At 39.2% G+C, this 17090-nt stretch overlaps 1 protein-coding gene and 1 long non-coding RNA gene across 6 annotated transcripts in view; both read right to left on the reverse strand.

Moving 5' to 3' along the window:
- PLD5 (phospholipase D family member 5) overlaps window positions 1-17090 on the reverse strand; it is a 447561-nt gene that overhangs the window by 404259 nt on the left and 26212 nt on the right. The window lies entirely within an intron of this gene.
- Window positions 2309-15568, reverse strand: LOC105373234 (uncharacterized). 2 transcript variants are annotated; one of them, XR_949328.2, is made up of 3 exons: window positions 12737-15568; window positions 3944-4037; window positions 2309-3114 (listed from the first exon to the last, which is right to left on the reverse strand). It is a non-coding gene; the product is annotated as an uncharacterized LOC105373234 (long non-coding RNA). The 2 variants fall into 2 exon arrangements; XR_949329.2 differs by lacking the exon at window positions 12737-15568 and adding an exon at window positions 5471-6777.

A 17090-nucleotide genomic window follows, 5' to 3' on the forward strand; every position in this document is an offset into this window, starting at 1 on the left:
ATGTGGCACATGAATACCAGAATATACTATTTGGTAGTACTTCTCAGCAGTAAAAAGTAATAGACTCCACATGCAAATAAAACTACCAAAAAACAAATATAAAGGAGGAATTTCAACATAGATCTTACACCTTTCACAAAAGTTAACTCAAAGTGGATCATAGATATAGAAACAAAACACAGAACTATAAAACTCCTAGAAAATAATACAGGAGCAAATCTAGGTGACCTTGGGTTTGGTGATGACTTTTTAGATACAATATCAAAGGCACAATCCACAAAAGAAGTAATTGATAACTTAGACTTTACTAAAGTTAAACATCTCTGTTTTGTTAAAGATACTATCAAGAGAATGAAAAGACAAGCCACAAACTGGGAAAATAATCTTTGCAAAATACACAACTGATGGACTGGTATCTAAAATACACTAAGAACTCCTAAAACTCAATGATAACAACCAACCAAATTTTAAAATGAGCAAAAGATCTGAACAGATACCTCACTAAAGAAGGTATACAGATGGCATAAAAGCACATTAGAAGATTTTCAACATTGTATTTCTTTAGAGAATTAATTTATAATTCTCTATGTATTTATGTATATTGTATGTATATCATTTTGTAGGTTGTTTTTATGTGTATAATTTATATGTATATATTGTATGTACATGTATGTATATCATTTTTGTATATTCATCTTATATTTCATGACCTTGCTAAATTTACTTAATAGTAGCTGTTTTTTAAAACATGTATGTATGTAGGTGTGCAGTGAGATACCACTACATACCTATTAGAAAGGCGGAGATCCAAAACACTGACAATATCAATGCTCACAAAGATGTGGAGCAACAGGAACTCTCATTAATTGCTAGTGGGAATGCAAAATGGTACAGCCACTTTGAAAAACAGTTTGGCAGTTTCTTATGAAACTGAACATTCTATTAACATATCATCTAGCAATTGCACCCCTAGGTATTTACCCAAATGAGCTGAAAACTTATATCCACACAAAAATGTGCATACTGATGTTAACAGCAGCTTTATTTATAATTGCCCAAACTTGGAAGCAATCAAGATGTCCTTCAAGGGATTAATGGATAAATAAACTGGTATAGGTATACAATAGAATATTATTCAGCACTAAAAGGAAATAAGCTATCATGCTTATGGAGACATGAGGTATCATGACATGGAGACACCTTAAATGCATATTGCTAAGTGAAAGAATCCAATCTGAAAAGGGTAGCCTTTTAAATACTAAGTGATTCCAATGACATTCTGGAAAAGGCAAAACTATGGATACAGTAAAAATACTGATCATTAGTGGCCAAGGGCTCAGGGGAGGAAGGGATGAACAGGTGAAACTATTGTGATGGCAGTGAAACTATTGTGTAGGATATTATGACGGTGGATATATGCCATTACATATTTGCCAAAACCCATGAAATGTACAACACAATCAGCGAACCTTAATGTAAACTATGGACTTTAGTTAACCATACTGTATCAATATTGGCTCTTCAATTACAACATTAGTGTAACACACTAATGCAAGATATTAATGATAAGGGAAGCTGTCAGGGAAGGGATGAGGGAGTATTTGGGAACTTTCTGTACTTTCTGTTCAATTTTTCTGTAAACATAAAACTCGTCTAAAAGTAAAGACTCTTTTTTAAAATTATAGTACTGATGATTAAAACTTGAAAATGAATTCTAGTAATAGTAGCAACAAGAATGTGAAATCAAGCAAATATTTGAGGAAGTAAATCTCTGTAAGAAACCAAAGGAATGAACTATTGACATCTGCACCAATATGGATCTATTTCAAAAATATGATAATGAGTGAAAGAAGCCAGACACAAATGAGTACATGCTCTGTGATCCTATTTATTCAAAGCCCTAGTATAGGCAAAACTCATCTCCAGTGACAGAAACCAGATCAGTGGCAGAGAGCTGGGAAAGGGTTTTTTTCAGAGGAGCATGAGTGAGTCCATCATCCGTCCCTTTTTGGGGTGATGGAGGCATTATATATCTTGATTGAGATGTTGGTAATATGAATTATGACATTTTTCAAAATTCATCTAACTGTGCATTTTATTGAATGTAAGTCACACCTCGATACATTTGATTAAAAAAAAAAACAGAGAAAAAACAGAGATGCTGCAACCAGAGAGAGAGAGAAAAAGGGAAGGAGAGACAGAGGAAGGACAGGAAGGAGGGAGGAAGGGAGAGAGAAGAGGAAGAGGCAGCGAAAGAGGATGAGCTATATTGTAATAAAACATTAGCAAAAATAATTACTTCAGGAAATGGATTTGCAGGTGATTTTTATTTTCTTCTGAAGACTTTTCTACATTTCCATTTTAACACTGAATGTGTATTCCTTTTGTAAGAAAAATGTTACATTAAAAAACAATAAGCATACCATTATAAAAAGAAAGGAAGGGAAAGGGAGGGACATGGGTGAGGAATCCTCGTTCATTGTGGCAGTTTAGCCAGAAAGTATTCAGGGCAGTTGGTATTTGTGTTGGCTCTTACAGAATCAACAGAATTTCAAAGGATTTCACCAAGCCTCGACAAAAGGAGAGATCATTTCCCGCAGAAGGAACAACTGCAGAAGAGCATGTGGAGGATGCACTGGTAATACATAGAAATGAGCTTTCTTGAGATAGGAGATTGAAATTGTAAGATTGAAAGGATGAAGCTTCTTTGTCACCAGATTCTTGACTGAAGCAGAGAGAAAGGTTCCATTCACATCAGGCATTAGAGGAGCCATTCGAACTTTTAAGAGATCCACTAAAATGGGAATGGCAGTCCCGTCTGTGCAAGAGCACCATCTGAAGCTTCCTCTCCACACAGGAACTGTGATATCCATGAGTTCTGATGCCTCAATGCCCATCATCAAAGAATGATGCTAATAACCCTTAGTGAGAACCATGGCTCCAGAAGCAGTCTCTGTTAGGTTTGGGTCTTACTGGTGATTTTCCACCATCTGTTACCAGAAGTTCGTTTCTTACCACACGGCTTTTATGTAGTCATTTGTAATAAACCCAGAAATTCAAAAATCAGCAAGCTGTTTCATGGCTCTTTGGAGACCACTGTTTTGCAAAAGTGTTCTAAAATAAACCAAATACCATTTTTTAATTGTATTGTAATTATGTGTGCACATACAAATTTTCTTTCAGTCTTTCTCTTAAATATAAACTTTCAAAACTATACCTCGAACACAGGATTACTAATTTTTGGCCCTCTTCGGTTTTGTTCAGTTACACATTTTCTTAATAACATATATTTTTAATTCTCTTCACTGAATGTCTAGGTTCCTCATTTGCTGCATCAAAACGTTCATTTATTATATAAACTTGATTTCTAAAACACTGAATATTGGGGCTACATGGCAATGCCTCGGTTCTCAGCAACCTTTGTGTAGAACCCACATCTGCATTACAGAATTCCTCAATGTTCATCTCTTTTTTAATCTTGAGGATTTCAATATCTCTTTAATACTGTGTAGAGAAAACCTACCGCTACGTCATACCCTAATGCTTCTCAGACTGTGATGCTCCCTGAAGCCTTGGCAACAGTAGACCCTGGGGTTCCGAAAATTTGGAGGAGCGCCTTAGGTTTTGCATTCCTAATAAAATCCGTGGTGATGCTCCTTCCTGCTTCCTCTTTGTAAAGCACATTTTGAATAACAAGGCTTAGCAGGAGCTTCTTGCACACCAGGCTTTGATGTTTCCCCCCACATATACCTTTGGGACATGACAGTCTCCTCCTTTCAGACACATTTTATTCCCTTGATCTTCACTAAGTTATTCTTCAGGCTCAACTGATCTAAATTATATTTCTAATTCCCACTGCTAATCTTGTATTCTTAGAATTTCTTGGCATCTTCTCCAGCTTTAATATTCGTTCATTTTCATATTCTGAGTTCAGTATACTTACCTACAGCAACTTCTTTCTCTGTCTTAGACCTTTCGAGTCCACATTCACTAATCTCTTTCAAGTTGAGTATTTTCCTGAGTTGTTGATCATAATTCTAGAAGAGAACATTGAAAAAACTTCCTCTTTTCCATATTACTTATATATAGATAGACATTTAGATACAGAGATATGTATAATAGATACATGAAGAAACGTGTGCATGTGCGCACACACACACATAAACACACAATTACATAGATGCCTTAGAAAACACCACTGTCAACCCTTTACAAGGCAAACACAGTGGATATAGTCCAGCTACACTGAACTCAAAATTCAATTCCATAAGACAGTAGAAAAACAAAAAATAGTAAACACGTATATTATATCTAAATACTTTAAATATTTAAATCATATCATGAATTGGGTTCTGCTCCACAAAGAAAATTTTCCAGATATCCCATTGTTTTCTTGTGCTCTCAACCTTCTCTAGTCTCATTTGTCAGTTTTATGTTGCCTCATTCTTTCTCCTGAAACTCAGTCTTCAGATTTTCTATGTCCTCATTCTGTGGCACTGTGTTCTCCATTTTGATAATTTACTTCAGGCCATCCTTAGATGCTCTAATACTTCCCTTGATATTAATAGGATTTTGTCTCCATGAAACTGTTGGAGTAACTTTCCACACATATTCTTAACATTTGGCTCATTTATCCCTTCCTTCTTCACCTCCATTCTTATAATGCTGCAATTATCAAAATTTTATAGACCTTGGAGCTCAAGAATGCTAGACATTTATCACAGGCTTGAAATTCACAATCCATCTCTTTGGCTAGTCACAATCTTTTTTATCTGTATGAATGACATATCAAGTGCAACACATCTATTTATTTCTTATTTTCCTCATAGTCTACTAATTTTTAGTATAGCAAACAGTCTCTTATGAGGGTGTCTACTGTCAATGAACACAGCCAAGAGTTCTATGAATGCTCCTATGCTCCTCTGCTGTTCACCTCTCCTCCCCAGCCACCAGTGTGAAAGAACAGATAAAAATAGTGTACACGGTGGCCAGGCACGTGGCTCACACCTGTAATCCCAGCACCTTGGGAGGTCGAGGCACGTGGATCACCTGAGGTCAGGAGTTCGAGACCTGCCTGGCCAACATAGTGAAACCCTGTCTCTACTAAAAAAAAAACAAATACTAAAAATTAGCTGGGCATGGTGGTGGGTGCCTGTAATCCCAGCTACTCAGGAGATTGAGGCAGGACAATCGCTTGAGCCCGGGAGGCAGAGGTTTCAGTAAGCCGAGATCACACCATTGCACTCCAGTATGGATAACAAGAGCAAAACTCCGTCTCAAAAAAAAAAAAAAGAAAAGAGATAGAATACAACATCATATACTGTTACTATGGTATTGCAAACTATAACAATGCCATGTATCTGAAAAATTTGCAAAGCAACCTACATGGTTTACTATGTGTCTTAGTCCAGGCTGCGATAACAGACTACCCTAGACTAAGTGGCTTAAGCAAAATATATTTATGTCTCACAGTTCTGGAGGCTGGGAAGTCCAAGAACAAGGCACCAATAGATCCAGTGCCTGAGGAAGACACACATCCTGGTTTGCAGACATCTGTTGTCTCCGTGTATTCTCATGCAGCTGAGAGAGAAAATCACCCCTCTTATGTTTCTTCTTATAAGTGCATTAATCCTATTCATGAGAGTGCCACCCTCATGACCTAATCACCTCCCAAAGGCTCTACTTCCTAAAACCATCACATGGGAGGTAGGATTTCAATATATGAATTTGGGAGGGGGAACCACAAACATTCAGTCCATAACACTATGTTTTGAATACACTGCAAAAGAAAAAAGCAAGAAACCAACCTGACCTATATCCATTTCTGCTAAGGCTCACTAGAAAAGAAATATTTTAATTCTTACTCTAATAGTTTAGGATATCTCACAAAACCATAAAAGTTGGCAATTTTCATATATTCTATTCAGAATGTCTTACTTGCCAATTACCCTTCCTGTCATACACATAGGGACCTTGGTCACACACCACAGTATTCCCAAAATGAGAGGAAAGGGCAACCTGTGGACTTGACTATTAAAAAGAAAAAACTGGGAAACCCCACAAGATGAAGGGGTTGGCCCACAAGCTGGGAGGCCACGCAGCGAATGTCTGAAGCCTTCATGCTGAAGCCTCGACATGCAGGGGTCAGAACAGGAGGAGAGAGGCGAGCACCGGGTTATGCTTCTGGACAGCGTCCATCCAAAGGGTCAGAGGGAAATTTTCATGTTGCAGAAGAGGAGGGCCAGAACAAATGAGACACCTTTGGCAGGGAGGACTGGTAGAAGCCAGGGACAAGCAGTCAGTTTCGCCAGCCCCCTGCCCTCGCCGCCACCTCCAAAGCTGGAGGCTGCCACATGGCCACCGAGGATAGCTGGAGAGAGGACGGGCTTGTCTAGAAAGCAGCCCCAGGGAGCTGCCAGGATGGGCCCTGTGGGACTCAGAACTCACTACTCTCACCCACACACATGCCCTCTGGGGCCTCCAGCAGAGGATAGTTACAGACCATCCATGTTCAGCATCCCCTGGTGCCGGGAAGGCTCCATGGGGTCAGTCCCACAAGCAGTGCTCCAGCAGAGAGGAACCCATAACATGAAGGACTGGAAATAATATGCACAACCGCTTTCTTTTTAGTATTCCTGACTGCAAAAATCCCTTCTCATAGCTAAGCTCTGTCGAAAAGGAATTAAGCAATGAGTTCTAACCTAAAATATCGCTCTTGAGAGTGAGCTCAGGTAGCTCAGAAAACTTCCTTTTTATCTTTCACCATCTCTAATAATTGCATTTATTTGCCTTTGCATTGGTATGCTTCATGTTTCCCTTCCCTCCACTCCCCTCCCCTGCCCTCCCTTCCCCTCTCCTCCCCTCTCCTCCCCTCTCCTCCCCTCTCCTCCCCTCTCCTCTCTCGATTCTAAGTTTTGGTGTCCTTCCTGACTTTTCTTCCTTCCTAATTCTAACTCGGGCCAAATGGCACTCACATCCCCTTTTCCCAGGCTATGCAAGATGCTGTCCTACCGCAGGCCCTATAGAACGCCTGTTCTGTACACCAGGCACACTTAGGCATGTGGCAGCCCCCATTTAAATGCTCCACAGAGCTACGTGAACTGCCTGCCACATGCAGGTCTGCAGCAGCCTCCCTCTGCTTTTGGATAAAGGCTTTAAGCTGATGGTTTATCCCAGTTTCTGCAGACATGGTTTTCCCATCACTTCTGCCATCCCATCCCCTCTTCCTGCTCTAAGTCTGTCCCTACGGCCTGGATCACTGACTCTCACTGTGTACCTCCTGGAGCACACATCTCCCCGCCTCTAGCCAACATATCTACCTCTGCACCAGGCTTTACAGAGCAGAACCGGCTGGTGTTTGCGGTTGCTTGCTGGATACTACCTCAAACCCCAGCCAAGGTTTATTTTATGTTCCAAAATGACCACAAACTGTCCCAAACTCACATCTGACTCTTTCATCCAGAGAGTCTCAATAACTGAAAAAGAACTTCACCCTATTATCACCAATCCTTTCTTTATGAGGGCTCTTCCATAATAATCTTGATATAACTCATGGTCTATATTTTTCATTCTGCAAAACTTTAGTGGGCTATTTGAAAATTGGCTGACACAACCCCCAATTTTTTTTTCTTTTCTGTTTTTTTTTTTTTGCTGTTTTGTCCTGTGTCAGTTTTCTGTCCCTTACTAATGTCCTGCAGTTGGTCCCTAAGTCCTCCCTTGAAAGTGGGAGCCTGTATGGTTATCTAAGTGACCACATTCCTGAGAAGCAGCAGGAAATAGTGCTATTACTCTATCTTAGGTATAAAATGACTATTCTCACAAGCACACCACTTAACCAAGTCAAGCAGACAGTTCTGCCTCAACTGAAACCCATACTTAGCAGAAGATGACATAAACTAGATTTTGCTTCTTGCCTTCAGAAGCACAAACCAAATGCCTTCATTGTCTAATTGACAAAGTCCTCTCCAATCTCCCCCAACCAGTGCCCAGCTGGGAACCATGTGGATGCTCAAAAAATGCTTGTTCACCAGTTTCCAGCACCCAAGGGCCCCATGGGAAGGACTTAGCTAGACGGACACCACTTCTTCCAGCAGGAGGTCCATTGATTTTTGTTTGTTTGTTTGTTTTCCAAACAGAGAATAAGAAAAGTTTTAGAAGAATTGGATTCCAAACAAGTTCATGAATGAAAAAGCAGTGAAGACACGAGCTGTAAGCAGTATCCCAGGGAGAAACACAAGCAAAGACGTAGCAACCCTTCTAAAATTAGCAAGGAAATAATATGTTCAATGTTACTGAGATGTTATTTCTATTTTAGAACGTCTTTACCATAATTTTCTTACAGACATATTAGTGTTCAAGGAAAATTGGTGAACAAATAAGTGGGTGAAGAATAAAAATGGAAAAAAATAGAATGTTAACAAGGAGAGAAGAGATCTAGGGAACAGAATGTGATTAGTTTGATTTCTAATCTCTAACAATCACTGGTTAAAAATCAATACCACCTCATCTAGAGTTAGGCTGCTTGTGGCACAGAGAACACTGATTTAAAGTAACAATGTTTGCATTCTTCATTCAAATATTAGAGACTACCATCATCTATCATCAGACCCCCTAGGGAAACATCATATGTTATTATAAAAAGCAGATGAAATAATAACAAGAGGTCCTAACCTTCCACATGTTGTCGTGTTTCATGTTTAATTATATAACCATAACACCCCCATTACTTTTGGCATCAAATTGGTGTAATGTAAATAAGAAATTATTACCAGAACTTAAATTCAAATGTTCCCTTTTGCTTTAGCAATTATCATTGGCAAGGAAAGTGTATTTGTTCTTTAGTGCCTCTGTTGTACAACCAGGGACATTCCTAGACCAAAATAATATCTGAGAACACTGGATTACGTTCCAACCAGAAAATGTTTGCAATGGGGGAAAAAAATCAGAGAACTAAAATAAGCTTAATTCTCTTTTAAACTGTGTAAGGGAGATAAAGCCAAGAAGAAAGGGAAAAAAAACCTGTCTTGCTTGAATTTTTGCTCTCCTAAGATGGAAGGCAACTTTGAAGAAAATAATACTCCACACAATTACTCTTGAAAAAGTCAGTTTCAACTTCAGTAGGCACAGATTGACATCCCTTTCAATAATTTTATAAAATGGAGGTTTTTGCTATTTAATGTCATATAAGGTAATGATTTAATAGCTTCTACCACAGCCTTATCAAACATCACTTGATTATGTTCCCACTGGCAGTTTTTTAAAAAGCATTTCTGGATAGATTCACTTTCTTTGCACTTCATTAGACTTTGCGAGATTGTTTCTATCAGAGGACTAAGTGAAACCACAGTTTAAAAGTTACCAATATTGTCATTTATAATTCTCTTTCATTTTTTTTCATATACACAACACACACATCAGAATATGTATACAATTGGTGTCTTTAGGGATATCTAAAGAAGCTCAGAACTCTAGAACAGTCCTTAAAGGATTGTGGCATAGATTTCTAAGTGTCCCCTAATATCTGCCCTCACAAAACACCCCTGAATGTTAGCTCATCCCTTGGCTTTCCAGAAGCAGGATTATATGTGTCAGCCTCCCTTGCAGCTAGCTGCAGTATGTGACTAAGTTTTAGCCAGCAGGATGGACAGGAATGTGATAGTGCAACTTCTAGGATGTGTTCTAAAGGGGAGGGCAGATGTTCCTTCTTGCCCTTCCTCCATCCTCTGGCTGAGAAAGTGGGCTGGACTCTGTGGAAGAGAAACACACACTCCAGAAGCCCAAGCAGACAGTTGGAAGGGGTCCCAGGAGACCGGAGACCTCATACAAATCCAGGAGCTGCCTACGTCTTAACTTTCATGTAAGGGAGATACGAAGTTCTATCTTCATAAGCCACTGCTTTGGGAGCTCTGTTACATGCAGCCAAAACTACATCTACTGCATAAAGATGTCACAGATTAGGAGCCTGAGCTGGGACTAAAACCCAGACCTACTAATACCACAACATTCAGAGTTCTTTCAATGACACCAGATAACCTTACCAAATGTTGTTGCCATATTTTTAAAAACTATTAATGATGTCTTATTATTTTACTATAGTCCAATCAGACATCATTCTTTCTTACTTATATTTATGTTAATAAAGGAAAAAATGACCTCTCAGATGCAATGCACCTGCCCAAAAAGATCTTTCTCTTCCTCTAAATTTTCTATATGTATGGGCCACATCCTTTGTGTGTGTGTATGGAGGCAGGTGGGGACAGAAAGACTCCAGAGGCAATAAAATGTGGACTGAGCCATCCATTGGAACAGGCCTGGGTTTGAATACCAGGTCTCCACATATGGCTGTTTAACTTCGCTAAACCTCTGTTTTCTAAGCATGAAAAAGAGAGCTTCATCCTTCCCTCACACTGTTGCTGCAGAAATTAAATGAGATAACATATTTGAAGAACCTAGTGTTATACCTGGAACATAAAAACTGCTCGACAAATACAGCTCTGCTTTCTATCGGGTCTTTATGTGTCTCTTCATTCAAGAATCATTTATAATGTCCTCACATATTATGAGTCAGGCACTATGCCAAGCACTGCGGAAGGAAGGAAGTAAGTCAACAGGGTGGCTGCCCTCATGGGGCTTTGCCATAGATGGCAAACGAATAAAGCAGGAGCAGAGGGAAGGTAGTTTGAAAGAATCAGGTTTTCTTTTTATTTCTTCAATTTATTTTATTTATTTAATTTTTTTTGAGATGGAGTCTCGCTCTGTCACCCAGGCTGGAGTGCAATGATGCGATCTCAGCTCACTGCAACCTCCACCTCCCGGGTTTAAGCAATTGTCCTGCCTCAGCCTTCTGAGTAGCTGGGATTACAGGTGTGTGCCACCATGCCAGGCTAATTTTTATATTTTTAGTAGAGACAGGGTTTCACCATGTTGATCAGGCTAGCCTCGAACTCCTGACCTCGTGATCCGCCCACCTTGGCCTCCCGAAGTGCTGGGATTACAGGCGTGAGCCACCGCACCTGGCCTCTTCAATTTATTTTTATGAGACCTTGCATGCTGATTGTAGAACTTTTTAGAAAATATAGATAAGCAAAAGTAGAAAATAAAAATTATTCCTCATCCCATTACTCAGCACCAACCAGTATTAATATTTTGGAGTATCTCCTTCTTCTCATTCTCTCCCTGTGAGATGTAGTCCTCTATTATAAACATACAGGTTATAGAAAATGTACAAAATACATTAAACATCTTTTTTTAAACTCCTTTTCTTAATTGAAATTTATGAGAAAAACATTGTTATGTTGTTACTATTTCAACTGCTATGTTTATTCCCTTGCCTGGATGTGCCAGAATTTATTCAACAGTCCCTATGTTTGAAAATTTATGTTTTCTATTAAAACTAACACTGCTGTAATGTCACCCTCTTACAGAGGCTTTCCCTAATGTTCCTAACTAAAATGGCTCCCACTCCCCACAATTGTTCACTGCTTCATTTTTCTTCGTTGAACTTATCATTTTAAAGTCTGCCACATGTGGATCAGTTTAGTGCCTATTCACCTCCAAGGCAAGGAACTCCACCTAGCCTTGAAGAGATGTTAGTAAATATTTGTCTAATAAATAAGTTAAAGAATAGATGTTGGAATGAACATTCTCAAAGAAAATTTTTATGCATATATAACCACTTTCTTAAAACAAATTCATTACAGAAAATACTTCTGGGTTGAAGGGTATTAATAGTGTTAATATTAATTGTGTTCATATTAACCATGTTAATGTTTTGATGTATGCTACCAAATTAGTGGACAAAAACGTTTTTACAATTTACTCTCCCCAAAAGAGGAAGGATTCGTTTCTTTGCATCCTCACCAGTATTTGACAGTATTATTTTTAAAATGATAAAAGAAGTTTTACTATTCCTTTAATTTTCATCTATTTGACAGTTAATAAAATAAGCCACTTTCACATTTTCATTGCTCATTAATATCTTAGAGAAGATGATTAAGGGAAAAGTTTGGACATAGTTACTTCTTTTCTCAGGCTTTATATGTGGCAAGTAGGTTCCATGGAGAAATAAAAATTGGCAGAAAGAATAATAATTGCAGCCAAGAATTTAGCTAAGTAGATTTACTGTTATAAAGAATTTGGAAGTGAAATCTACCAATAATAGTTATGCTAATAATGTATCTTAGCCTTTCTCTATCTATATCTTCATATTTATCTACCTCTATCTATCATATATCTGTATCTACATCTCTATTGATATGATTATGTCCGTGGCCTTTGCTTTCTGCCACTTTACTCCCCTTTTTCTTTTAAGATCTCCCTTTCTTACTTCGCATTTTGTCTTGTTTTTTCACTTTTTGTTTGTTTTAGTGTAAGTGTAATTGGCAATAAGATGGGCTACACAGGGGATGAACTACGAAGGCTTATGATCTCTTTTTAAGGAAGTGTTCCAGTTACCCATAGCTGTCGAACAAACCACCCCAAAACTTGGTGGCATAAAGCAAACTATTTTGTTGTGCTCATGGATTGTGCAGGCAGGAATTTGGCAGGGCCCAGGAGGGATGGCTTATATTTGCTTAAACATGTCTATTTCCTCCACTTGGGAAGACTTAAGTTGCTGGGAGTGACTGGAATAGCTAACTACAGGAATCATCTACAGGCCTTTTCACTCACATGTCCAGAACCTTGGCTGGAATGACCAAACGGGGGCTCAACTGGGATGGCTGACCACAGTGCTTACCTGGGGCCTCTCAATATAGCTTGGACTTCCTTGCAGCCTGGCGGACACAGGGTCGTCATACTTATAGTGTGGCTCAGAACTCCAAGAATAATGGTTCAGATGCCGCACAGTCTTTTATGATCAAGCCTTGGATGTCACATAGTGTAGCTTTTGTCATAGTACATTGGTCAAAGCAGTCATAGGGCCAGCCAGTTTCAAGGGATGGGGATCAAGAATCTGTGGCCATGTTTAAAAACCACTGTGCTAAAAAAACAAACTCATGCATCTTGGGACACTTCTAGGTGCATACCAGCTTTTGGAAAATACAGTTTATTTGGTTACACATTTGGTTATTACAGTTTATTTAGAAAACACAGTTTATTTGGTTAAACCGCTTAAACATGTATTTCTGATAATCAACTGTCCAACACTGTTCTATGCACAGTATCCGTAGACAAGAATAAATGACCATCCCTGCTAGCAAGACATTTGCTAGGATACGGAAAATAATTTGCTAAGATACAGACAAGTACCTGAAACAATGGGAGTGCAATTAAGTGCCGAACTGTGATAACTGATCAAAGATGCAACAGAAATTCATAAAAGCAAGAAAGATGTGACGGTTGGTACAGTTGCAGTCAGTAACTAAGGCACTACAGCAGGGCTTTGATGTGTGGGTGGGACTTGGAATCAAACTCCTGCCGTGAGCAGGTTGGGGAAGGGAAGAAGAGAAGAAGGAGCAAAGGTACAGAGCCCAGGAGCCTAAAACATCCAAAATTGAGGGAGACAGGATGTAGTCCGTAATAAGGTGGACTATGAAAAGAAAGGATGGTCTGCTAGCAAGACTCCATTCAGGAGAGGACCACTGTAGAATGTTGATCAAGGAAGCTATGCTTAGGAATAACTAAATGTCGGGGCTTCACAGGTGACATAGAGGGAAGATGAAAGGTTAGGGACAGCAACTAGAAGCCATATCCACATACCACCTAGAGTAGTATCATTTAACGTTTTTCTTTAAGTCAACTCATTTTTTTTAACTTAAGTACCTTTTCATAAAAAGGAAAATAAATTTTGTGTCAGTCCTCTACATGGAACATTAGTATGAGTAGGTATGTCACCCACCTCTCTCTCTGTCTGTCTGTCTCTCTGAAGTTAATGGTAGACAGTAGACAGTTGTTAAAGACTCACTAGCACTGAACTGAGCTTTCCCATTCATTAAATAGGCAGGATTACTAGAGAACTGAAGCAGGAATCCCTTCCTCATTAAAGAATCCAAAATTATGCCATAGCATGTCTGTACCTCCTAAATTCTCTCTCATCACCAGTGCTTTAAGAAATCCCAGACCAACAAATCTGAGCAGAAAGCGAAGCAGCTGGACTGGAGCATGTCTGAGTACAGGACACACTTCTCCTCTGTAATAATGAAAATTACAGAAATATAATAAATCATAATCATTCATATTATTAATCCACTAACTCTCGTATGACCTTCACCCTCCTCCTTCCTTAGCTTTGCCAGATTTGTAGTTCTGTCCACTTTGGGGCAGGCATCTGCCTGTTTCATTGACATGAGCACTGTAAATTCTCAATGATCAATGCTCATAAAGAAACGGAATGAAAACTAAACCTATTTACATTTGTTTTGGAACCAAGCACCTCTCATTGGAATTCATAGACATAAAAGACTCAGGAATAAAGCATGGAAAAATCCAAAGAGAATGTTTTGTAAGCTTTACAATGCATTCTATGGCTGGAAAAAAATAGATTTAAAAGACATACTTTCCTAATTCTTATTTGTTCAATCTAAAATTAAGATATATTAATATTCCATTATATATATATATATATATACACTACATCATGCTGTACCTTAAATATAAATAATAACATTTATTTTTTGATGATATATTAACTTGGGGTATATTCTGTCTGTGTATATTTTCATATAAGTTAATATCTGTTAATTGGCTGAACAAATGACTTGACTTAATAACATATATTGACTTGTATGAAAATATCATTCAAGGAGAGGGACAGAACAGAAACCTGAGAATAGCTGGAGATGCTAAGACACAGTTTCTTGTTAATCTTATCTACTCTTAGGACTGCAGCGACCACCTACATACTAAGGATTCCCAAGTCTATGTCTGCAACCCAACCCAGCTGTCCTCCTGAATTTCAGACACACATCTAACTCTTGTTAGACCTCTCCACTGCAATGTCTCTCAAGAACCTCAAACTTAACATATTTAAAACATAAGTCATCACCGTGCCCCTCAAACTCTGTGCTTGCCCCTAGATTTACAATGTCGATGGCCACCGTCTAGGAGCTTACCCAAGAGGAAACTGAGTGATCCAGCCTTAGTCCTCTTGATCACTTCCCATATCTAATTAGTAGCCAAGCACGCATACTGCCCTTTAAAGGAATTCATGTAACACTTGTTTTTAGTAGACTCTTGTTTATTCAGAATAGTAACAGGAGAGAATTATATAATCACCTATCTATTCTGATTAACAGTTACCAAGAGTGCTAATTTTCACATAATTACAGTATAACAAAACATGCAACACTGTTAAATAAAAGATACCTTTTCTTGCATTTTTTCAAATCATTTAACAAAAGTCTCAGGGAAATTACAACTAATCAATTACATAATATTTACATGTTTATGGGTGCTTACGCAAGTGCATGGGCATGTATGTGTGTATGTGCGTGTGTGTGTGTATGTGCGTGTGTGTGTGTGTGCGTATCTCCTGACTTCTGCAAATAAATTTAAGATGGAGAAGATAGAAAGAAGTTGTAAAACAGAGTCCTGTGGGGCCGGGTGCAGTGGCTCACGCCTGTAATCCCAGCACTTTGGGAGGCTGAGGTGGGCGGATCACCTGAGGTCAGGAGTTTGAGACCAGCCTGGCCAACATGACAAAACCCTGTCTCTACTAAAAATACAAAAATTAGCCTGGCGTGGTGGCACACACCTGTGATCCCATATACTTGGGAGGCTGAGGCAGGAGAATCACTTAAACCCAGGAGGCAGAGGTTGCAGTGAGCCAAGATCATGCCACTACACTCCAGCCTGGCAACAGAGCAAGACTCCGTCTCAAAAACAAAAACAAAACAGAGTCCTGCGGAGGTCTGATTTCCCACCCAATAACCACTCCATATCTAATATGGTTTGGATCTGTGTCCTGACTAAATCTCATAGAAATGTCACCCCAGTGTTGGAGGTGGGGCCTGGTGGGAGGTGTCAGGATCACGGGCACAGATCCTTCATGAATGGCTCAGTGCCATCCCACTGGTGATGAGTGAGATCACGCGAGATCTGGTTGTTTAAAAGGATGTGGCCCCTCCCATTCACTCTAGCTGCTGCTCCTGCCAGGCGTCGTCCTGCTTCTGCTTTGCCTTCCACCATGAGTAAAAGCTCCCTGAGGCCTCCTCAGAAGCCGAGCAGATGCCAGTGCCATGTTTGTACAGCTTGCAGAACCATGAGCCAATTAAAACTCTTTTCTTTGTAAATGACCAAATCTCATTTATTTCTTTATAGCAATGCAAAAATGATCTAACAACACCCCTCCACTTCCTTGAAGCACAGGGCTTCCAATTTTGATAAGTTATAAGCAGACCTGTGCTTCAAGGAAGTCCAGATGCCCTCCACCTCACAATGGGAAGTCTTCCGTTTCCCTTGCCAGCAACTGGTTTAGGAATAGCCGTATGGAACTCTTTGGCCAATGATGGTGAGTGCAATGGGAAAGAGGCCTTAAGAAGCATTTCACTGCTCTTAAAAAGGGACATAAGGTCAAGTGCTCTCTTTTGGCCTTTGAATTTTTTTTTTAAATGAGGATATGATGTCGGGAGCCGTTGATGGCATTTTAACACCTGAAACAGACTCTAGAGCCTGCTGATGCGGAGCAGAAAGGTGGGAAGAACCCTGACGATGCTGTTAAGCTGCTGAATTAACAACTCTTCACATTTTTTATGTGGGATAAAAGATTGCTTTACTATTTAAGACATTCTGCCTTGGGTATTCTCTTAGTTAATGCTGAACTTATCACAAGTGACACAGACTAACCAAATATGGGTGTCTTCTAGTTTGTATTTTGTTTTGTTGTTATATTACAAAACACATGCCTGTCATTTCTTCTCTCATAAAAAAAAATGTACCTACCAGAAATAATTTTATCTATTTTAGCTCTTTGGGATATAGAATAAACGAAGTTCGATGCACCAATGAAGGGAGGGGAGGAAGGTCCAACTGACTGAAACAAAAAGTTCAAAGGAACCCAAAATGTGTTGTTTTCATCATTCTGGTCCTTAGAGTTTTGTCAAAAGCAGCTAGCTGATGTGTCTTCAAATGATTCAGTCCTGGGGCTTTCTTAA

The sequence above is a fragment of the Homo sapiens genome, chromosome 1 (genome assembly GCF_000001405.40).
Source record: "Homo sapiens chromosome 1, GRCh38.p14 Primary Assembly".
Taxonomy (NCBI): Eukaryota; Metazoa; Chordata; class Mammalia; order Primates; family Hominidae; genus Homo; species Homo sapiens.